Source organism: Homo sapiens, chromosome 3 (assembly GCF_000001405.40).
Source record: "Homo sapiens chromosome 3, GRCh38.p14 Primary Assembly".
NCBI lineage: Eukaryota > Metazoa > Chordata > Mammalia > Primates > Hominidae > Homo > Homo sapiens.
Genome location: NC_000003.12, coordinates 192310577 through 192335277, shown reverse-complemented (window position 1 = coordinate 192335277; position 24701 = coordinate 192310577). Strand labels below are relative to the sequence as shown.

General features: G+C 36.1%; 1 protein-coding gene across 7 annotated transcripts in view; it reads left to right on the top strand.

The window, feature by feature from the left end:
* FGF12 (fibroblast growth factor 12) overlaps nt 1-24701 on the top strand; it is a 588152-nt gene that overhangs the window by 392264 nt on the left and 171187 nt on the right. The window lies entirely within an intron of this gene.

Below are 24701 nucleotides of genomic sequence, written 5' to 3'. Positions count from 1 at the left end.
AAAATTGGAAGTTGAAGTCATTTTATATTTTGTGATCCTGTTTTTCGGGATTATTTTGAGGTTTTGTAATTTAGAGTGTTAAGGACCATGTCTTGTTGAATGAGTATATTGCAGTTACTCTCCATGCGATATAAATTCTTTGTGTCTAGCTTCCATTTCTGCAGGATACTCTCCTTTTGGAATTTTACCTTTCTGTTTAATTCAAAGAGCAAGACATTTTTCTTTTCTCTTGTTATCTCTCCTTTAAGCATGGAGGATGGCTCAGGGAGGAAAATTCTTCAATTTGTCTGGAAATAGTCTCTGTCCTACCATGGAGAAAAAAACGTTCATAATTTGTGAAAGATTGTGGCTTTGTTTGTATTTAGTAGGTCTATGTTTTATCTAATATGTCAGATTCTCAGAATAACTTTAATTTAAAGGCAATATGAATTTATGGAATGAGCTCTGGATTACGAGCAAGGATATTTGAGTTTTATTTGCATTTCATTTACTATCTTGATATCCCTTTGGGCAAATTATCTACCTTCATTGGCTTAATTTTGGACTTTTCAAATGAGCATGTTGGACACAATGTTGTATCATGTCTTTCAAATCCCAAACTGGCAAAATTAGGTAGCCATCAGTGGCTACATTATCAGCACTGACATATTTTAAAGTAGCAAACACAATTATGATGCTTGTCTCACTCTCAGGATAATAATTTATGCGTTGAGAGAATGTGGCTGCACTGAATGGGGTGTGTGTGTATATGTGTGTATTTCCGCTTTCTTGTAAGAGAGTTGGCTATTTGTAGTTCATGAAAAAAATTCCTTGAAAATCATGATTACAGATTTCCACCCTTACTTTTTATGATCTCAGTAAATAGCACAAGGTTATTTTGGAAGTTTCCATATGTCTGCTGGATTCTAAATTAGTTATTGACTAATTTTCATTAGGCTCTTCCAATGTTCAATTAAACAAAACTCTGGTACCTTGGAGCTCAGAAATTGATACTCTCAAATATGGTGTTTTTACATGCTGCACAGAAGAAGCAGCCTCAAGTCTCCTCTGAACTCCGTCTGCCTCCTGTGTCTTAATCCTGTCTCTCCCAAAGCACAGGATGAAGTTGTTCTCTGGAGTTCCCTTATCTGCCTAAGCTCGGACCTGCCAAAGAAGAAAACAATTACCTTTGGTCTCTTCCCTGAGTTTTCATTAACTGAACTCGTATCACAGGAAGAAAGACAGAAGTCCATCAATACACCTAGACAGCATTTTGTCACAAACCATGGTTTACTCTGCAGACCCAAAAGACTTTGTCCCAGCTCATTGTATGTTCTTTAAGTTCATTGAACTCCCCCCCAAAATCATTTGCTGTCGCTGTAAAATCATCCACACATCCCCATCTCCCTTTCCTCTAAAAAGAAGGGTATATAACCATGTGTACCACATTTCGCATGGTGGGGTAATCACCCTGTAATTCTCCCCAGTGCACATTAATAAATTTGTATTTCTTTTCTCCTCTTAATCAGCCTTTTGTCCATCGATTTTCACTTAAGCTACAGAGAGTGAAGGGAAAATTTTCCTTTAGCTCCAACAGGTACATCATACTTGCTTATTAGTAATACATCTGTCATTTGTATTACAATTATTTTTTTTACTCCTGAAAATATTCAGATCAAAATATACACTATATTTTGTATTTACACTATAAATATGCTATATGTGTACATATACCTTTTTTCAAAGTTTCTGCTTAAAATAACAATTAAATACATTTTCAGTCAAAATAATGGGCTCTCTTAGTGTGTCACAGCTCTAACAATTCTTAATGTCCAGTTATTGTGAGTCTATTTTAAATGTAAGAATTAAAATTAAAAAAGGCAAGAGGATGTTATTTTGAATATTTCTAGTTAGTCTTACTTTAAAGATTTAATCAGTCATTAAATAAGCAGCTAAATGTAGACTATATTATGTATATTTAAAAAGTCATAATTCAGGTTATAATTCCACAGAAGCTATAGAGTTCAGTTTATTAGACTAGAATTGATCCCCAAAGGTCCATGAAGAAGAAAAACACAGAAAGTTTGACAACAGTATTGTAAGCAGGAGACAATTGTATAAGGGAAGGAGGGAGTTTGGAGGGATTGCTGGGTTGTGGTTTCATCCTCTGAAGCTTTTCAGAGATGCATTCCTTCTGTCCTTCTTGCTTAGTTCTGAGGTTACGAGGGGGTGGGAATCTTGAGCCAAAAGAGGGAGTTTCTTTTGTAATGGAGTTTACCTTTGTAAACCTATTGGGGTATCTGTATTTTCAGTTCTTCTCTCGACTTAAGTCAAACTTGCCTCACATCTAGAATCACAATGCTTTCGCCTCGTGAGTTAAAAGTCATCTGTTAACTTTGACTTTCCTGAGGTGTTTCTGGTATGCATTAAGGCTAGAATTTCTTTGAAAAGCAATTTTCTATGTCGTAGGCAACACTGTAGTTGGGCAACCAATAAGGGTCATAACTGCAGTTTATGGAGAGAGAGGAGAGTGCTGAAGCAAACTAAGAGGACCTACATAAGCTAATTTAGAACCCAAAAGATTCACAAGCAGTATCATTTATCTAGTGTCATTTACCTGGCTTCTATTTATTTTTAAGCTAGGAATTAATAGGAAGTAATTCCCTTGTTACTTTTGATTTCTATTTCTTCACCAGGAAGCAGGAGGAGAGAGTGTCAAAGACGGAGTGAGTGTTAGGTAGCACAGAGCTATAGTTTTAAGAGTTGTTCTGAAATTTTGTGTTTTAATAGATGAGTTTAATCCATATATATATTTGATGAGATTATTGATGTATCTGGATATGTTTTTACCATAATAGTTTGTATTTTTTTAAATTTCCTTTTGTTTCTCTTTTCTTTTTTAAAAAATTCTGTTGCTTTATTCACATTTTTTTATTTTATTAAATTCTTCTGCAAGTTTGTAACCTCAGGCTGTATTTTTATTCCTGTAGTGGTTAGTCTTATTTTTTTTAATCATACATAAATCACGACATACTTTGCTAAATATTTTTTAGTGTTTCTGTCTTCCTTTCCAACAGCTTATGGAGGTTACAGTGTTTTCTTGCTAGTAAATATCACAACCTTTCTTGCTGCCAGTTTGATTAGTTGCACTTTAAAATAAAATCATATGCACAATTAGTTATGTTATAGCTAATCGTTAAATTAATGAATGTTTTGAATAATTTTATGCATAGAACTTTTGTTTGTGTGTGTATATCAAATTTGGTCTCTGATTTCACTTTTCTTCTAAACTAAACCTTTAATTGTTTTGTGTGTGAAGGTGTGCGGATGGTGAACTTGCTTTTGGTTTCCATGAAAATGTCTTCCTTTCACTTTCATTCTTGAATTGCAGTTAAGGTAGTTATACAATTCTGAGTAGACCAATATTTTTCTCAGCATTTGGAAAATAATATTACATTGGTTTCTGGTATCTGTTGTTAATTATGAGAAGTTTCTCATCAGTTTAATATTCTTTCCCTTGTAGGTAATCTCTACAGACCCTTTATTCCATCCTGGAAAACTAAAATTCTGTATACCCATTGAACAATAGCTCTCTTTCCTCTCCTCCCCCAGCCCCTAGCAACCACTATTTTTTACTTATAGTTACAAAGAGGTTGACTACTTTAGATATCTCATATAGGCGGGAAAATGCAGTATTTGTGCATTTTGTAACTGGCTTATTTCACTTAGCGTAATGTTCTCAACATTCATCTGTGTTGTAGAATATGACAGGATTTCCTTCTTTTTAATGTTTAAAAATATTCCATTGTATGTTATACGCATTCTGCATTCTGTTTATCTATTCATCTACTGATGGACATTTAGGTTACTTTGGCCTCTTGGATATGAGATTACTGCTGCAATGAACATGAGCGTACAAATGTCAAGATCTTGTTGGATTATATGGTAATTCTGTTTTTGTTTTTGTTTTTTTTTTTTTTTTTTTTTGAGAAAACTCCATACTGTTTTCCCTATCAGCAGCATCATTTTACCTTCCCACCAACAGTGCACGAAAGTTCCAATTTCTTCACATCCTTGCTAACACTTGATACTTTTTGTTTCTTTTGATAGTGGCCATCCTAACAGGTGTGAGATGATAACCCATTTTGTTTTGATTTGCATTTCTCTAATAACTAGTAGTAATGGGCATCTTTTAACATACCTGCTAGTCATTTGTAAATCTTCTTTGGTGACATGTCTATTCAATTCCTTTGCCTACTTTTTAATTGAGTTGTTTTGTGTTGTTGTTGTTACTGAGTTGTAGGAGTTCTTTATAGATTCTGGCTATTAAAGCCCTTATCAGATATATGATTTGCAAATATTTTCTCCCATTCTGTAGGCTACCTTCTCACTCTGTTAGTTGTTTCTGTTGATACATAGAATTTTTAAAGTTGCATGTAGTCCTATTTGTCTATTTTTGCTTTTGCTGCTTATTGTTTTGGTGTCATATCCAAGATATAGTTGCCAAATCCAGTGTCATGAAGGTTTTTTCCTATGTTTATTCTAGGAGGTTTTTTGTTTGTTTGTTTGTTTGTTGTTGTTTTGTTTTTTGTTTCTTGAGATGGAGTCTTGCTTTGTTGCCAGGCTGGAGTGCAGTGGTGTGATCTCAGCTCACTGCAATCTCCACCTCCTGGGTTCAAGCGATTCTCCTGCCTCAGCCTCCTCTTATGCAGAGATTTGTAATCCATTTTGAATTAATGTTACATGTGGTGTAAGGTAAGGGTCCAGTTTCATTCTTTTGCATGTGGATATACAGTTTTTCCAACACCACTTGTTGAGAGGCTAACCTTTCTCCATTGTGTAATCTTGTTGAAGATGATTTGACCACATATTAAAGGGTTTATTTCTGGGCCTCTCTATTGTGTTCCATTGGTGTTTGTGTCTCTTTGTGCCAGTACCATACTGTTCGATTACCATAGTTTTCCACTACATTTTGAAGTCAGAAGGTGTGCGACCTACAGCTTTATTTATTTATTTTTTCTTAAGATGGTTTTGGCTATTTGAGGTTCCTTGAGATTTTATATAAATTTTGGAATGGAGTTTTCTATTAGTGCAAAAAACGACATTGAGATTTTGATAGGAATTGTATTGAATATGTAGATTGTCTCCGGTAGTATGGACATTTGAAGAATATTAGGTTTTCTGATTCATAAACATGGGATTTCTTTTGACAATGTTTAGTAGTTTTCAGTATACAAGTTTTTCAACTCCTTGATTAAATTTAATCTCACAGTGCCTTTTAGAAAGGAAGACCAAAATAATTTTAATGGTATTAAATAACATTTAAAAAATAGAGTAAATAAAAAGTTCTTAATGCATCTCTTTCTCAAACAAAAGAAGGTTAAGCATGTTGGAAACTTATGTTTCTGAAACACCTTTTTCGATAGTTCAGGAAATACCATTCTGTGTTACAATCTGTTGAAACAGATTTTTCTACAAATTTTACCTTATACATAGACAGTGCCTTTTAAAAATTTTGCTGTTTAACCAGTTTTGATTTAAAATGTAATATCCTTTAATGTTTTATTCTTTTTGAGTTTTAAAAGTTTTTGACAAAACTTGTAAGACCACCTAAATTTTCTCAAATGATCACAGTGCTTAAAGGCATTTCGGTTGGGAGTGGTGAAGGAGAGGTATATTTTCATTTTATACAGGAAAGACAAAACCCAAGTAAGCCCTCGACCATCCTCTGTAAATTGACTCACATCTTTTTATATTTGAGTTGTTTGAACTGAACCTTGTATAAATAAAGCAAATGTAGATAAACATCATTTGGTATGATATTATAAAGCTAGATTTTCAAATTGTGGTTAGAACACTAGTGATATAATATTTTAGGTAACTTGATAGAATGATACATGTGATAAAATATGTAAAGAGTAAAAATAAGACTTACTAAAGTGCTATCACTGATACTGTTATATTTGCCTTTTTCTCTTCTGTACCTATGTAATTCATAATTTTCCTTAAAGCTCAGCTCAAATCTTACCTGATATGTCACCTGTCTCCATTGTCCATCCTCTATGAGAATTAGATGCTACTTCTGCTGTAATATCTGAGCACTTGACTTTTATTTTGCTGGTGGGCAGGAATTACATCGTATTCATCTTTGCTATCTGGGCCATCTGGGCCACATATTTGGCCCAACCACAGCATTAAACACATTCCCTGGTAAAGGAAGATTCTCAGTAAAGACTTGTTGAATTTTGAAGAATTGCCTATTTCAAGTATAGACGGAACAAATTTCATACAATTGTTGCACAATTAACTATGATTACATTGATCAAAGTTTAATTGGTAGTCTTACAAACCACTGCACAAATGCTGGTTTGTCCTCAAAGCAATCTCAGTAAACCTAAAATTTGTTCAATACATACTGATTGAAAGTCTACCACATCTCAGGCACCAGACTGCATACTGAGCATATAAAGATGAATGAAATAGATACAATTCTTATCTTGTTATAGTTTGCTCTTATAATCATAATTAGTTAGCTGTCATAAGGAGTTTAGGCCAACTACTAAGTTAGAGGGCATAGTCCTCAAGACCACCCTCACTTCTGGCACCAACTGCAAGTTTATGGCCTCACAGAATCATCTTTAGATTGATAACTTTCCAGAAGGACTCACAGACCTCACTGAAAACCATGGTTATACTCACGGTTACAGTTTATCTTTGAGAGAGGGACAGATTAAAATCTGCCATGGGAAGAAATACCTAAAGCAGGATTCAGTAGAAGTACCAAATACTGAGCTTCTATTGTCGTCTTCCTGTTGAGTCAGGACATGTTACTCTTCAGGTACCAACATGTGATAATACACATGAAGTGTCGCCAAGCAGGAAGCTCACCTGAGCCTCTATGTCAAGAGATGTCATTGGCGTCTGTTACGTAGGCAGGATTCATTCATTGCGCATGTGCTTGATCCCAGCCTCTGACTCCACAGATATTGTGTGACCCAAAGCCCCTACCCTAAATCATAGTGTTATTCTCTATTTAGCCGAAGGCTCTCAGGAAAACACAAATTACCTTCCAGAAACCAAGGGCAATGGCTGCACCTCTTTTTGGACAAGTTCTTTATGTGTCCAATGTCCAAGTGAAGTGAATGCCATAGTCCATAAATACGTACCTGTGACTCTGCTTCCAGTCCCACGCCCTCACTCATCTGACTACCGTCTATTTTCTTACCCCAGCTCAGAAGAAGAAAATAATGAAAGAAAAGAAATTTATGGGTGTAATATCTGGCATATCAGCACTTGGGAAATAAAAATATAACTTACTGCTTTGTATAACTTAGGAGCCTTGACATTCGCATCTAGGAGAATAGCACTTAAAAATAATGCAGTTTGAACCTGGACAAGAGGTGAGAATCTGTCTCTACAAAAAATTTAAAAATTAGCTGGGGATGGTAGCATGCACCTCTGTTCCCAGCTACATAGGAGGCTGAGGTGAGAGGATTGCTTCAGCTTAGGACATCGAGGCTGCAGTAAGCCACGTTTGTGCCACTGAACTCCAGCCTGGGCAATAGAGCAAAACCCTTCCTCAAAAAAAGCAATTTGTATAATTTGAAACATGTCTAGAACGCATAACTAGGCAAACATTGGACCTTTTTTAATGAATAGTTTGATGTGCTTAGCACACTTATCGCTGGCATTTTAGTGGTTAATATTGGTTATAATGTTTTTAAAAGGTTTATTTTTTTCAAACTATAGCGATGATTTGTTTACTTTTTATAAACTTAGACTATTTATTGTCCAAATCTGAATTAGGTAGTTTATGAACTAAATGAGAATTTTTTTTAACTAAAGGATAAACTAAAGTCAAATTGTGCGAACACAGTTTTTTGTTTAAACAGGGCCTTAACCTGTACCAATTATATTTGAAGCTGAAATAGTGATAAAGACGCTTATTTTAGTCAGTCTATATTCTAATAAATAAGTAATATTATAAGTTCTTATCAGAGTAGCTGTAACCATGAGAATCATGGTAACAATATTAATGGCTGTGCTAGTGCAAATAATACAGTGTACTTTTAGTTTTTGTTGTTTCTGAAGGACTTTTAGATTTGTATTTAATTTCACCGCAACTCTGTGAGGAGGGATGGAAATGAACCAGTAGATATTGATGAAGAGCTGAGGCTTAGTGAGGTGCTTGACTTAAATAAGCCCACTCTGGTGACTAATAGAACTAGAGTTGAAATCTAGGTCTTCACGTCCACAACCATGAGCTTTTCATAATACCATACTGCTCTTGGCCTTATGTGCAATAAAACCTTTCCATTGGAATGCTTCTCATATTTTCCCATGTGCTTTCACATAAACTGTCACATTTGAGCCTTGCAATAACTCTATTATTGCTGAGTGACAAAAGTATGCCTGGGAAACAGAGAAGTCATGTGACTAAAATGAGGTCACTCAGCATTGTGAGGCAGGTTAAGAAAAAGCAACTTCTAGTTCAATATTCATTTCTTTAATCAATATTGCTTCTCCTATTTGCTGTTGCAATTAAGGATGTGCCATACTACAGTGTTCCAACATAATATAAAAAGCATAATTCTTTGAAAACCGGGGCAGCCTATCACCTTGTTTGTGATGGCTTTATTACAGTGATAACACCAACAACAAAAATGAAAGAGAGACTGCTTGATTGATGCATGTCCTCTGCACCATTGGGAATTTCTCCCTTAAAGTATTGCCTTGGTGCAAGCAGACAATGTTAAGATTGTGAGATGACGATACTGATTTTATATTGAAAAGCTGTGTCAGGAGTTATTGAGAAACATGAGTTGGGGGTGGTGATCTCTAAGGAAGAAAAATGAAAGGGCCGCTATTGGTAACTATAAGGAGAGGACTATTTTATGTCCACAAGGTAGATGATGGGAGAAAGTGGTTGTTATTCCCTCCTCTAATTTCTTTTACTTCCTCACTATCATAGATATCCAAATTTCTCCCATCATTTAGGACCCAGTAAACATTTTCCCAATTTCTGCAGCCCCAAATAACTTCCACATTTTATACTTTGATGGGACATTTATCTCTGTATTTCCTTTCTTTTGTTAGAATTTGTTCTTAATGCTTTTTATATCTTATCAGATGCAAATTCCTTGAGGTTAGGGATCATATCTAATATAGATTAATATCTCTCATGGCACTGAAAACTGTAATTCCAATGTTCAGACATCTGCTGAAGTCTAGTTGAATCGGTTGATAGAGGCATCATACAGTTTAATTTTGGCAATAATTCACTGGCTGTCTGGACTCAATGGGCTTTATAATAATTTTCCTGAGTATGACCCTACACACTTTCCAGTTCAGTGACTAGTTCACTTTTGAGTAGTCTGTTTCTATTCTACTGAAGCATGTAAAGTTTACTCGAGGAATCTTAGTGTTCATGCTTCCCTATTGAGGCTGATATGGTGCTGTAGTTTTAAGAGCTGATATTGCCATGTTTTTCTTTCTGTACTAAATACTGTTTATAAAAGGTAAGGGAGAGGTAAAGATTAGCCATGATATCTTCCTGGGAAGCCACCTGGTTTTTACAGTTAATCTCTCAGTGAAAGAATTCTGTTCCATCCTAAAAAGATACGCAGGCTTTATAAAACAAGCATATCTGGAGTAGAGGTACAAAGCAGTTGCCCACTCTGGAATTTGAGTTTCCTTATCAACGTACTTTCTCATGGAAAGTTCTGAAATCTGAGGCATATTCACAACTCTTTCTTGGGACAGCAAGTGAGTGACGTCTCAGAAAAGTGAAAGACGAGAGAGAGAGAGAAACAAGAACCTTAACTATTAATGTCAAATGAATCATAGAATTTGAACTTAATGATGCCTAAATAGAGAAAAGTCAAAGGCCAAATCTTAGGGGCTTGTTCAACAGGTAGATTGTTAAATATTCAGTTTAGATCATTTACATAATTTTTTCTTCTCATATGCTCGTGATTTCCTTGACCTTTGTCACATTCCTTTAAAAAAATTGGGGGGTATAGCACTTGGAAAAGGATTATCTATTTTGCCTATTTCTTTTTTCACCCCATATATATTTATTAAATGAACTGGAAATTTTTTCAGTTAAAAAAAGAAAGAAAATATGGAATTCTGTCAACCCAAGAACCTGGCAATTATCGCTTGCAAACATGTGACATGGGTTATTTTTTGTTGGGATTAGGTTGTCTTTTTTCAGAAACAACAGATTATTAGTTATACTTTCAGTAAGGATTAACAGTAAGCATCCATTTTTAACTTACAATGTATTCATAGTAAATAGTGTTGGTTTTTTTTCTAAGAGTTTATAACTTATGGAAAATGTTAATACTTTAGCTCCAGGGCTAACCTTAATTGGAAAATTAGCATATATGTTTCTAGAAACATTTTTCATTAGAAAATAAAAGCAAGGCTCAGCTTTTGAGAGCAGCACTAATGAGGACCTTTGGTTAAATTATTTGAATATGATGCCAGATTTTATATTTTTCTTTTCCATCTTGTCATTAGCCACATTAGGCCAACAAGTAGTCATATTTCCAAAGTTTCTAGATTGTATTTCTTTAGTCATCAGTGAATCAGGGAATATTAAGTAGTAATTTAAAATGTAAGCTTTAGAAATAAAACTGTGTTTGAATCATAGCCCTGTAACTTACTTCCTTTGTGAAAAAATTGGAAAGTTTTTTAACTTTCTAGATTGTTTTCTTATGTGTAAAACAGGGGTAATAATGAGGATATGGAGCTGTATAGAATTGTGTAAGGATTAAATGGAAAGATGCACGTAAAGCCCTAGGGCAGTGTATATTATGTACTCAACACTCAGTGTTAGCCATAAGCAGTAACAGTAGCAGCAGTAGATATATTTTAAAAAGATGCTTGGTGTACCCTCAAACAGCTCCTGAGCATCAATCCATAAAGTTTCTGTAGGATTAATCTCACTGCTAGTTTTAGTGCTGGTTCCTGCTTTGCCTAATCAAATATCTTTAGTCACTCTGGTCTTGGGGGATTGCTTGAAGAGTATTTCTCATCTAATTAGGGCAAATTAGCTTCAGGCTCAAGACTTTATCTGTTGAAAGAGAGTTGCATTTTATTATTATTATTTTTTAATTTTAAGTTTTGTGGGCACGTGGTAGGCATATATATTTATGGGGTACATATGATATTTTATTTAATTAATTAATTAATTAATTTTTTTGAGACAGTCTCGCTCTGTCGCCCAGGCTGGCATGCGGTGGCTTGATCTCGGCTCACTGCAACCTCTGCCTCCTGGGTTCAGGCAATTCTGCAGCCTCAGCCTCCCAAGTAGCAGGGACTACAGGTGCACACCACCACACCCAGCCAATTTTTTTGTATTTTAGTAGAGATGGTATTTCACTGTGTTGCGCAGGCTGGTCTCAATCTCCTGAGCTCAGGCGATCTGCCTGCCTCAGCCTCCCAAAGCGCTAAGATTACGGGCATGAGCCACCATGCCCTGCCACATGAGATATTTTAGTACAGGCATATAATGATAAATAATCACATCAGAGTAAATGAAGTATCCATTACCTCAAACACTTACCCTTTCTTTGTGTTACAAACAATTCAATTATACTCTTTTAGGTAATTTAAAATGTACATTAGCTTATTGTTCACTGTGTTGGGCTATCAAACGTTTGATCTGAAACATTCTATCTAACTATATGTTTGTACCCATCAACCAACCCTACTCCCCATGTCCCCCTTTCCTGGCCTCTGGTAAGCATCATTCTACTCTCTAACTCCATGTGTGCAATTGCTTTAATTTTTAACTCCTGCAAATAAGAACATATGATGCTTGTCTTTCTGTGCCTGTTTTATTTCACTTAACGTAACATCTTCCAGTTCTATCAATGTTGTTGCAGATGACAGGATCTCATTCTTTTCTGTGGCTGGATAATATTCCATTGGGCATATATACCATATCTTCTTTATCTATTCATCGGTTGATGGATAGGTTGTTTCCAAATCCTGGTATTGTGAATAGTGATGTGGTAAACATAGGAGTGCAAATATCTCTTTGATATACCTATTTCCTTTCTTTTGGATATACCTAGCAGTGGGATTGCTGGATCATATGGTCATTCTATTTTTAGTTTCTTGAGGAACCTCCATACTGTTTTCCATAGGTGTACTAATTCACACTCCTATCAACAGTGTTGAAGTTTTCCCTTTCTTCACATCTTTGCCAGGCTTTGAAGTTGCCTGTCTTTTGGATAACAGCCATTTTAACTAGAGTGACATGATATCCCATCATAGCTTTGATTTGCATTTCTCTGATGATCAATGATGATGAGCACCTTTTTATATACCTGTCTGCCATTTGTAAGTCTTCTTCTGAGAAATGCCTACTCAGATCTTTTGCCAGATTTCAGTAGTTTCATACTTTGAGGTCTTAGATTTAAGTCTTTAATCTATTTTGATTTGATTTTTGTCCATGACAAGAGATAGAGGTCTAGTTTCATTTTTCTGCATGTGGATATCCAGTTTTCCAAGCACCATTTATCAAAGAGACTCCTTTCCCCAATGTATGTTCTTGGAAACTTTGTCGAAAATGAGTTCTCTGTAGAGGTACGAATTTATTTCTGGGTTCTCTATTCTGTTCATACATTGGTCTGCATGTCTGTTTTTATGCCACTACCATGTTGTTTTGGTTACTATATCTCTACAGTATAATTTGAAGTCAGGTAATGCGATTCTCTCAGTTTTTAATTTTTTTGCCCAGGATAGCTTTGGCCATTCTGGGGTGTGTGTGTGTGTGTGTGTCTGCGTGTGGTTTAATATAAATTATAAATTTTAGGATTATTTTTTTCTATTTCTGTAAAGAATGTTGTTAGTATTATGATAAAGATTGCATTGAATCTGTAGATTGCTTTGGGTAGTATGGACATTTTAACAATATTGATTCTTCCAATCCATGAACATGGAATATTTCCCATTTTTTTGTGCCCCCTTCAATTTATTGAATCAATATTTTATAGTTTTTATTGTAGAGTTCTTTCACTTCTTTGGTTAAGGTAATTCCTAGGTATTACATTTCATTTGTTGCTATTGTAAATTGATTTTTTTAAATTTCTTTTTCTGATTGTTCACTGTTGGCATATAGAATGCCACCGATTTTTGTATGTTGATTTTGTACCCTGAAACTTAACTGAATTTGTTTATCAGCTCGAAGAGTTGTGTGTTTTTTTTTGTCCTTAGGTTTTTCAAATATACTATCATATCATCTGCAAACAAAGATAATTTTACTTCTTCCATTCCAATTTGGATGCTTTTTATTTCTTTCTCTTGTCTGATTGTTCTAGCTAGGACTTCCAGGATTATGTTGAATAACAGCAGTGAAAAGTGGGCATCCTTGTCTTGTTCCCTAATCTTAGAGAAAGACTTTCTGCTTTTCCTTGTTCAGTATGATACCAGCTGTGGGTCTGCGATGTATGGCTTTTATTTTGTCAAGATATGATCCTTCTATACCCATCATTTTTAGGGTTTTGATCATGAAAGGATGTTGAATTTTATCAAGAGATTTTTCAGCATCAATTACAAAGATTATATGATTTCTGTTCTTCATTCTGCTGATATGACATATCACATTGGTTGATTTATGAATGTTGAACCATTCTTGCATACCTGGGATAAATCCCTCTTGCTTATGATGAATGGTTTTTTTAATGTGTTGTGGAATTTGGTTTGCTGTATTTTGTTGTGTGTTTTTGCATCAGTATTCAACAGAGACACTAGCCTATAGTTTTTTTGTGTGGTTTTTTTTTTTTTTTTGAATGTCTTTATCAGGTTTTGGTATCAGGGGTAGTACTGGCCTCACAGAGTGAGTATTATTCCCTCCTCTTCTATTTTTTGAAATTGTTACAGTAGGTATTAGTTCTTCATTAAATGTTTAATAAAATTATTCAGCAGTGAATCCACTAAGTCCTGGAACTAAGTTTCTTTTTTGGGAGACTTTTTGTTACAGCTTCAATCTCATTACTTGTTACTGGTCTGTTCGGGTTTTGGACTCTTTCAGGGTTCAATCATGGTATGCTGTATGTGTCTGAGAAGTTATCTTTGTCTTCCAGGTATTGTATTGGTGTGTAGTTGCTTATAGTAGCCACTGGTGATCCTTTGAATTTCTGTGGTAGCAGTTGTAATGTCTCCTTTTTTTGTCTCTGATTTTACTTATGTGGGTCTTCTCTCTTTTGTTGTTCATTGGTCTGGCTTAAAAGTGTGTTGATTTTGTTTATCTTTTCAAAAAACCAACATTTTATTTCATTGATTTCTGTATTTTTTTAAATTTCAAATTCCTTTACTACTGCTCTGGTCTTTATTATTTATTTTCTTCTCCTAATTTTGGGTTTGATTTGCTCTTGTTTTTTTAGTTCTTTACAATGCATCGTTAGGTTTATTAGAAATGTTTTACTTTTTTATGTAGGCACTTATACCTATCAGCTTTCCTCTTAATATTGCTTTCACTGTATCCTATAGATTTGGGTATATTGTGCTTTCATTTTCTTTTGTTTCAAGAAATTTTTACATTTATTTCTTAATTTCTTTATTGAGTAAGAAATATTCAGGAGCATATTATTTAATTAGTTTTCATATGTTTGTAGAGTTTTCAAAATTCCCCTTTTTATTGATTCCTAGTTTTTATTCCACTGTGGTCAGAGAAGATACTTGATACTATCTCAGTTTTTTTGAATTTTCCAAGACTTGTTTTGTGACCTAGCATATGGTCTATCCTTGAGAATAATCCATGTGCTGAGAAGAATGTATATTCTGCAGCCATTTAATGGAATGCTCTGTATTTATTAAGCCTATTTGATCTATAGTGCAGATTAAGTTTATTTCTTTGTTGATTTTCTGTCTGGATGATCTGTCCAATGCAGAAAGTGGGGCATTGAAGTCTCCGGTTATTATTTTATTGGGGTCTCTCTCTGTAGCTCTGATAATATTTGCTCAGTGTTGGGTGCATTTATATTTACAATTTTTATATCCTCTTGCTGAATTGACTCCTTTATCATTATATGATTTTTTTGTCTCTTTATGGTTTTTGTCTTGAAATCTATTTTGTCTGATCTATGTAGAGCTACTCCTCTTTTCTGGTTTCCATTTGCATGGAATATCTTTTTCCATCTTTGTATCTGTCTATGTGTGTCTTTCTAGGTAAAGTGTATTTCTTATAGGCAAGACATTATTGGCTCTAGTTTTGAAATCTATGCAGGCACTCTACGTCTTTTGATTGGATAGTTATTTCATTTACATTCTGTGTTATTATTGATAAAGAAGGAATTTTGTTCTGGCCACTTTGTTATTTGTTTAATGGTTGTTTTGTAGTCTTCTCTTCCTTTTTTCCTTCTTTCTTATCTTTCTTTTAGTGGAGGTGATTTTCTCTGCTAGCATATTTTAATTTCTTGCTATTTTTTTGTGTGTATCTGTTGTATGATTTTTGTCTTGAGGTTACCGTGAGACTTGCAAATAATATAACCCACCATTTTAAACTGATGACAACACAGGCTGCATAAACAAACTAACAAAGAAGCAAAGAGACAACTAATAAAAACTCTACATGTTAGATTCATCCCCTTGCCTTTAAACTTTTTCTGTTTCTATTAATATCTTATTATACTATCCATGTCTTGAAAGGTTTTTGTAGTTATTTTATTTATTTATTTATTTATTTATTTGAGACAGTCTTACTCTGTCACCCAGGCTAGAGTGCAGTGGTGCGATCTCAGCTCACTGCAACCTCCGCCTCCCAGGTTCAAGTTCTTCTCGTGCCTCAGTCTCCTGAGTAGCTGGGATTACAGGCATGCACCACCACACCCGCCTAATTTTTGTATTTTTAGTAGAGGCGAAGTTTCACCATGTTGGCCAGGATGGTCTTGAACTCCTGACCTCAAGTGATCCTCCTGCCTTGGCCTCCCAAAGTGCTGGGATTACAGACGTGAGCCACTGCGCCCAGCCCAGTAGTTATTATTTTTGATAGGTTCATGTTTTAGTCTTCCTTTTCAGGATATGAATAGTTTATACACCACAATTACAGTATTATAATATTCTGTGTTTTCTGTGTGTTTACTATTACCAGTGAATTTTTTGCCCTCAGATGGTTTCTTATTGCTCATTCACATTATTTTCTTTCAGATTGAAGAACTCCCTTTAGCATTTTTGGAGGAGAGTTCTGGTGTTGATATAATCCCTCAGCTTTTGTTTATCTGAGAAGGTCTTCATTTTTCCTTCCTTTATGTAGGAAATTTTCCCTGGATAATTCTATTCTAGGATACAAGTTTTGTTTTGTTTTGTTTTGTTTTGTTTTTCCCCCTTCAGGACTTTAAATATGTCATGCCATTCACTCCTCTTGGCCTGTAAAGTTTCCACTGAGAAGTCTGCTGCCAGATGTGTGGGAGCTCCATTGTATGTTTTTTGTATTTCTTTTTTCCTCTTCCTGCTTTTACGATCCTTTCTTTAGCTTGACCTTTAAAATTTTAATTATTAAATGTCTTCATATAATCTTTTTTGGGGTTAAATCTGCTTGATGTTTATAACCTTCTTATGCTTGAATATTGACATCTTTCTCTAGGTTTGTGAAGTTCTCTGTTATTATTCTTTTGAATAAACTTTCTACTCTGATCTCTCTCTCTACTTCCTCCTTAAGGCCAACAACTCTTAGATTTGTACTTTTGATGTTATTTTCTAGATCTTGTAGGCATGCTTCATTTTTTAAAATTCTTTTTTCTATTGTCTTCTCTGATCGTGAATTTTCAAATAGGCTGTCTTCAAGTTCACCAAGTCTTTATTCTGCTTGATTAATTCTGCTGTTAAGAGATGTTAATGCATTCTTCACTATGTCAGTTGCGTTTTCCAACTCTAGAACTTATCCTTGATTCTTCTAAATTATTTCAGTCTCTTCATTTATCTGATAGGATTCTCAATTATTTCTCTGTGTTATCTTGAATTTTGTTGACCTTCCTCAAAACAATTATTTTGAATTCTGTCTATCTCTCTGGGATTGGTCCCTGGGGTCTTATTTAGTTCATTTGTTGAGGCCATGTTTTCCTGGATGGTCTTGATGCTTGCGGCTGTTCATCAGTGTCTGGGCATTGAAGTTAAGTATTTCTTGTAGTCTTTGCAGTCTGAGCTTGTTTTACCTGTCCTCCTTCGGAGGACTTTGCAAGCATTCAAAAGGACTTGGGTGTTGTGATCTAAGTTTTTGGCTATTGCAGCCATACCTGCATTAGGGGGCACCCCAAGCCTAGTAATGTTGTGGGTCTTGTAGACTCACAAGAGGTACCATCTTGGTGTTTTGGGTAAGATTGGGAGAATTTTGTGGATCACCACGCAGACACCCTTGTTCCTTTCTCTTACTTTTCCCCAAGCAAATGCAGTCTCTCTCTCTCTCTCTGTGCTAAGCTGCCTGGAGCTGGAGGTAGATGACACAAGCACCCCTGTGGCCACCACCACTGGGACTGCACTAGGTCATACCTAAAGCCAGCACAGCACTGTGTCTCCTTTATGGTCTGTGGTGAGCACTGTCTGGTTACTACCTATGTTCACTCAAGGCCCAAGGGCTCTGTAATCAGCAGGTGGTGAAACCAGCCAGGCTTGCTCCCTTCAAGGCAGCGAGTTCCCTTTTCCCCCATGTAGGTTCAGATATACCATCTGGGAGCCAGGGCCTGGAGTTGAGAACCTTATGAATCTTGCTGGTGTTCTATTCTACTGTGGTTGAGCTAGCACCCAAGCTGCAAAACAAGTCTTTCCTACTCTTCCTTTTTCCCTTTCCTTAAGCAGGAGAGTCTCTTCCTGTGGCCACTACCATCCCTGGCCCACAGCACACATTGCCTGGCTACTGCCAATGTTCATTCAATGTCCAAGGGCTCCTCAGTCAGCTTGTGGTGAACGTTGCCAGGGCTGGGTCTCGCTCTTTAGGACAGTGGGCTCACTTCTGCCCCAGGACTGGTCCAGAAATACCATCCAGGAGCCAAGGCCTGGAGCTGGCTACCCTGGGAACCTGCTTGATGCTGTACTCCACTGTGGTCAAGGTGGTGCCTAAGCTGCAAGAGAAGCCCCCCTTACTCTTTCCTCTCCTTTTCTCAAGCAGAAGGAGTCTCTTCCTATAGCCACTACATGTGGGAATATGCTGGGACACCCTTGAAGCCAGCACAGCTTTAAGTCTCACCCAAGGCCTGTGGCCTCCACTGCTAATTATTCACAATCCAAGGGCTCTTTAGTTAGCTGGTGATGGATCCTGCCAGAACTGGGTCCTTCCCTTCAAGGCATTGGGTTCCTTTCTGGCCCAGGGTGTGTCTAAAAATTTCATCTGGGAGCTAGGGCCTGGAATGCAGGCCTCATGACTGGTGCTCTATTCTATAGTGGTTGAGCTGGTATCCCAATTGTAAGGGAAAGTTTTCTTTACTCTCCCCTGTTCTTTCCTTAAGCAGAAGGAAGATGTCTCTCCCGTAGCTGCTAGCTGCACTGCCTGGGGTTGGGGGAGGGGTGATGCAAGCATCCCCTTAGCCACCTGGGCTGGTGTCTCACTAGGTCACATGCACCACAAGTCCACTCAGAGCCCAGCCCAGCAGCAGGACTTGTCCAGGAATTGCAGGCTTTGTTGTCTAGGCTGCCTTTCAAGTTCATTTAGGACCTCAGTGGCAAGGCTTGGCAGAACTCAAGTTCTGACCACTAGGACAGACAATTCACCTCTGGCTAGGGCTGGTCTAGGTGCCCCCTATCTGGGCACCGGCAAGTTCTTCACTTTGCTGTTTTCCACTGTAACAGGGAAGCACTGAGTCCTAATGCAGAGCCCCACAACCACTGTACTCTCCTTACCCCAAACACACAGGTTCTGTCTCCATGCCATGCAGCCACTAATGGGGGATGGGAAAGTGGTGATATAGGTGATTCATAACTGTCTTTCCTACCCTCTTCAGTGCCTCTTTCAGTGATATGAAGTTAAAACTAGATACTGTGATAATTCATCTGATGTTTGGTTATTATGAAGGATTTTTTTTTGTGTAGGTAGTTATTCATTCTTGCGTTTTAGCAGAGGGAGGACAGCTGCTGGAGTGTTATCTATTTGCCATCTTGCTCCACCTCAATGATCTATTATTATTTTTTAAACTGGATTTGGAGCAGAAAAGATAAAGGGACTCTAACCATCTTAATACCACAGAGGGAGATCCCTTCTGCTAATGATTCCAACATTCAGAGGACAGGAGGTCTGGTTCAAAACATGGGGAGCAACAAGTTCTCATTCTTATCCTTAAAGCCAGCCCTACCTCCAAAACTCTCAGTTACCTGAGCCAATAATTGCCCTTTTTACATAAATCGGTTTGGGTTACATTTTTATGAACTGCTAAACTGATAAAGCAGTGAACCAATTTTTGAGAGTAGTAACATGTTCTGAAAAAGCTGAAGCTCCATTTAGTCCATGTCCTCCTTGTTGTTCCTGCCAAAGCATCACACAATGGCCTTCTGAAGAGTTATGGCCTTGCTGTAGCTTATGGCCTTGCTGTAGGAAATCAGTTCACCCTGATTTCCAAAAGATCTCCTGTCTTTATTAGTTCTGCTTTCTCTTGCTGTTCTATACCCCAGTCTGCAAAATGTAAAAACATTAGTAGTTTTCATATTTGAATGTTTATTGGGTTTTTAACAAGAAAATCCTAAAAAAGTATTGGCTACTTATTTTTTCCCCCTAGGATGACCTGGTTTTTCAACTTCTGGGCATTTTCCTTCTCGGAACTATCTCCTTATATAACTCACTTGGAGGGAAGTATACAACATAAAATAAAGCTACAGTCCAGGACTTTCATAACCTTCAGGGAGAGGAAAAGAGAAAGAATTTATGTGTCCTAAATGCAAAGGGGAAATCAGTGGATTTTTCAGTAGAAATTTGAAAGGAATAGAGATCTGGCAAAGCAGAGAAGCAGAAACAAGTCATTCTTATGAACAAGTCTGTAGAGAAGTTGGCTCTTTGAACATATAGCACTGAGAAAAAAGACATAAAACAACAACAACAACAACGACGAAACAAATTTTAAACACCTGTGATGGGGTCAAATAAGAACAATGATAGACAGAGATAGATCACGGAGTGCAGCATGCTCCACAAGCCCACAGTCTGCTGTATTTATGGTATACCTACTGGTTATTTCTGCACCAAACAAAAAACCTAGTAGTTATGTTAGGGGAATATATAGAATTTAAGTGACATACCTTTCAGCCAGCTACAACTGAAATGAAAGAACTTTATTTTGAGGCCACTGTGAACATCATTCTCCCATGGGGTAACTCTATGTCCTGGTTCATCCAGAAGAGTTCTAGTTTATGCCTAGTATCTTAGTATAATTATTGGTGGCACCTATTTAACCTTCTAAAGAATCCTGGATTCAGATTTTGGCAATAATTATGCAGTCACCTTACACATGCCTTCCACATAATTCTACATGTAACTCAGTGGGTAATTTGAGGTGTCAATATGTGCACAAAACCTCACTAAGAAGAAAGTTTCCTCTTCTGATTTTATTTCCTAAGACCAATTATTAATAACAAATTTCTTATGTTTACTTTCCTGTATCAATGAGGAATTGAGTCTAGCTGTGAGGAAAGTGATGCCCATAACAATGGTTTAAAGGGATCAGAGGTTTGGATTTCCTCATACACCCAGAAGTCTAAAGATAGACATTTATCGGTATTGGTTCATTGATTGACTCAACGGGCCCATTATGTCCAAGGCCTCTTTACATTTGCTTGGACTTCTCTTCCTGGCATGGATGGCTCTTAAATCCCCAGATAACATGGGAGCTTTCTAGGCAGTAGAAAGAGGCACAGAGGAAGAGATGGTGCCTTTATCAGGAAAGCTAACATCTTCCCAGAAGTTCCAGTAGATTTTACTTATGAATCCTTGGATAAAACTACATCACGTGGTGAACCTTAAGTTAAAAACAGAAACAAAAACAGGGTAATGCCTCTTTTAGCTTTTATTTTGTTTTTTTTTTAATTTTAATTTTTAATTTTAAGCAATATACTTTACCATGTGTATCAAACCAGAGTTGCCTTAGTTTGGGCTGCTTTGACAAATTATCACAGACTGGTTGGCTTAAATAATGGACATTCATTTCTCACAGTTCTGGAGGCTGGTGAGCCCAAGATTAGGGGGGCAGCATGGCCAAGTTTCTTGTAAGGGCCCTCTTCCTGTTTGCACTTGGCCATCTTCTTGCTGTGCACTCACGTGGTGGTGGGCAGAGAAAGAGGAGGCATGCTCTTCCCTGTCTCTTCTTACAAGGACACTGATCCTATTTATGAGGACTTTACTCTTATGACCTGATTACTTCTCTAAGTCTCCACCTCCAGATTGCATCACATTGAGCATTAGGCTTCAATATATGAATCTGAGGGTAATAGAGACTTACAGTCCATAGCACCTGGCAGCAGCCACACCTCTCTAGACCAAAAACTTAACTGTGCATAATATAAGACTTTAGGGCAAGAAAGAGAGAGAGAAAAAGGGAGTAGACTGAAGCATAGATATGCATACATAGTCTCTTCATTAGATTGCATATTATCTTTCTAATCACCATAACTATTAGTTGACAGGTTTATGAACCTCTACTGGGAAGCCAAATATTGAACTGTAGAGACTACAAGGAAGAGAGATTACCTCTAATTTTATTCAGGTCTAAATAAATTAGAACTCATCTGGGATTTGGAAACAGAAGCTTATTGCTTGATGAGTGTTCATTGCAGATTGCTAGATATTACCTCTAAAATTTCTGTAGCAAGGGCAAGGATGAATAAGCATTACTACTTCAACCTTTATTCTTCGATTTCAATAGATGGGAAAAGGTTTTCTCTTCAGGGAAGTGTGAAAGGTTGTGTGGGAACTGAAAGCTCTACCATGAAAAAGGACATAGCAATGACATTGTGCCTGTGGTTTCAATATAGCTATTCCTGAAAATCCAGGGATCAGCAGGTTGTCTATGATCCCATTTACACTATCATTTACCACCTATTTATTTAAAATTATTAATGTGTCACACATTGTCTTAGGCATTGGAAGTAAAATGAAAAACCTTCCATCTCCCATATTGGGAGAACACAATAACATGTAAAAAAAATAAATGTAAACATTTACTGTTTAGGATTAGTGCTATGAAAGAATGAAATGTATTTCTGTAATAGAGAATAATAGAGGAAACTAATTTCGACAGAATTTCTCTGGAAATTTCTTTAAGGATGTAATACTTAAGCTAAAACATAAAGGATGAAAAGGAGAGAAAATTATGCATCAAAACAGGGAAAAAGTGCCAATTCTAGAATTCATTCATTTTAATTTGTTCACCTATTCAATTTTGAATATTTTTACTTATCATGTACCAAGTTATATTATAGATGCTTTAATCATGGTAGAAGACAAAGGCAAACACTATACGTTAATACTATAATAAAATATTTAAATTGTTAGGTGCCATAAGAGAGAGAAGCAGGGTTATAGAAACATTAAATATTTTGTGTCTTGGCATAATTTTTTTTTTTTTTTGAGACCGAGTCTCACTCTGTTGCCCAGGCTGGAGTGCAGTTGTGCGATCTCGGCTCACGGCAAGCTCCACGGCATAACATTTTAAGTTTTCATTAGCTCTCATGAATTTCCTTGTTTTGTATTTGTATTATCTTTGCGTTTTGACTAATTGTACATATAATCCAAGAATAAGATGTTTAATTTCTAAAAATTTATGTACTACTTATTGAAATGCTTTCTTTTTTATTTATATGCTTATGGGTTTTCCACAAACTTTCTTAGTTATTTCAATGAAAAGATCTTGTTGCCATTGTCTGAAGACCTTAAGAAATCTGAATGGTAGCAGAAAAAAAAAAAAAATTAAAGGCTAAGTTTTCACATGACATATGAAAAAGTAACCCAAAATGGATCACAGACCTAAATGAAAAAGTAACCCAAAATGGATTAGAGCCCTAAAACCTATGGCTTTTAGAGCTAAGACCATAAAACTCATGGAAGAAAGCATAGGAGTAAACTTTTATGACCTTGGATTAAGCAGTGGTTTCATGGATATAACATCTAAAGCACAACCAACAAAAGAAGAATCGATATGTTGAATTTCATCATAATTAAAAACTTTTGTGCTTCAAAGGACACAATCAAGTGAAAAATCAATCCACAGAATGGGAGAAAATTTTGAAAACCACATATCTGATAAGAAATTTGTATCTAGAATATATAAAGAACTCTTATAACTCAGTAATAAAAAGACATATAACCTAATTGAAAGGGTGCAAATGATCTGAAAACAGATAGATAGATAGATAGATAGATAGATAGATAGATAGATAGATAGATAGACAGACAGTCAATAGCAATGTGAAATGTACTCAACACCATTAGCCATCAAGGAAATGCAAATTAAAATCACAAGAAGATACCACCTCCCACCCGCTGCAAAGGCTATATTAAAAAAGACTGATAATAACACACGTAGGTGAGAAATGGGAACTCTTATACACTGCTAGTGAGAATGTAAAATGGTGCAGGCATTTTGTAAGACAGTCTGGCAGTTTCTCAAAAGATTAAACACAGAGTTATTATATGACCCAACAGTTCCACGGCTAGATGTGTACCCAAGAAAATTTGCAATATATGTCTACACAAAGACTCTTGTATATGCATACCCATAGTAGCATTATTCATAACAGCCTAAAAGTAGAAACAATTCAAATGTCCATCAACTGATGAATGGATAAATAAAGTTTGGTATATTCATACAATGGAATATTATTTGGCAACAAAAAGCAGTAAAGTACTGATGCATGCTACGATAAGATTGAACCATGAAAATATTATGTGATATGGAAGAAGCTAGTCACAAAAGATATACTTTATCATTTCATTTATGTAAAATATCCAGAAAAAGCAACTCTATTGAGACATAAAGCAGTTGTATAGCACTGAATGGGGATGGGAGGAATGGAAGGGGTTCACAGCTAAAGGGTGTGGGGTTGCTTTGTGAGGTGAAGAAAAATATTCTAAAATTAATTGGGGTGATGGTTTTACAACTCTGTGAATATATTAAATACCATTTAGTTGTACACTTTGAATGAGTGAACTGTATTGTATGGGAATTATGTCTTAATAGTTCTGTTATTTAGAAAGATAATTTGTCCAAACAAAAGCTAAAATGTCAATTTAATCATTATTTAATTGAGATTAAACAGGAAATAAAATCATTGTTCTTTATGTATTCAATACACATTAATTGAATTACATTTTTTAAAGTAATACAGAGGTGTGAATTTCTTCACGATTGGAGAGGTGAGACAACATTTTAACACTCTGGTGATGGACCAAAAAAGTGGAAGAAGTAGTGGAAACAGAGTGGAATCCATGTTTTCGTTGTGAAGCTGTGTCTTACAACTGTAAACACAATGATTTTGACCACAGAAGACTACTATGCAAGAAGAGTTTTCCTGATTAAGAGTTTTCCTAGGACTGGTATTTAACTGTACTTACTGAGCTTGGGCTTCCAAATGATTATTGTCAGCACTTAAAAAAATTATACATATCTCTTAATGAGGTGGTACATTTGAGTAGGTATTAAATTGCAAAACAGATTTTTACTTTCTGTCCTTAGATCAATTTAAACATGTATTGTGAGATATTTTATAATATTTTGTACCTTAAAATGACACCTTTGAGC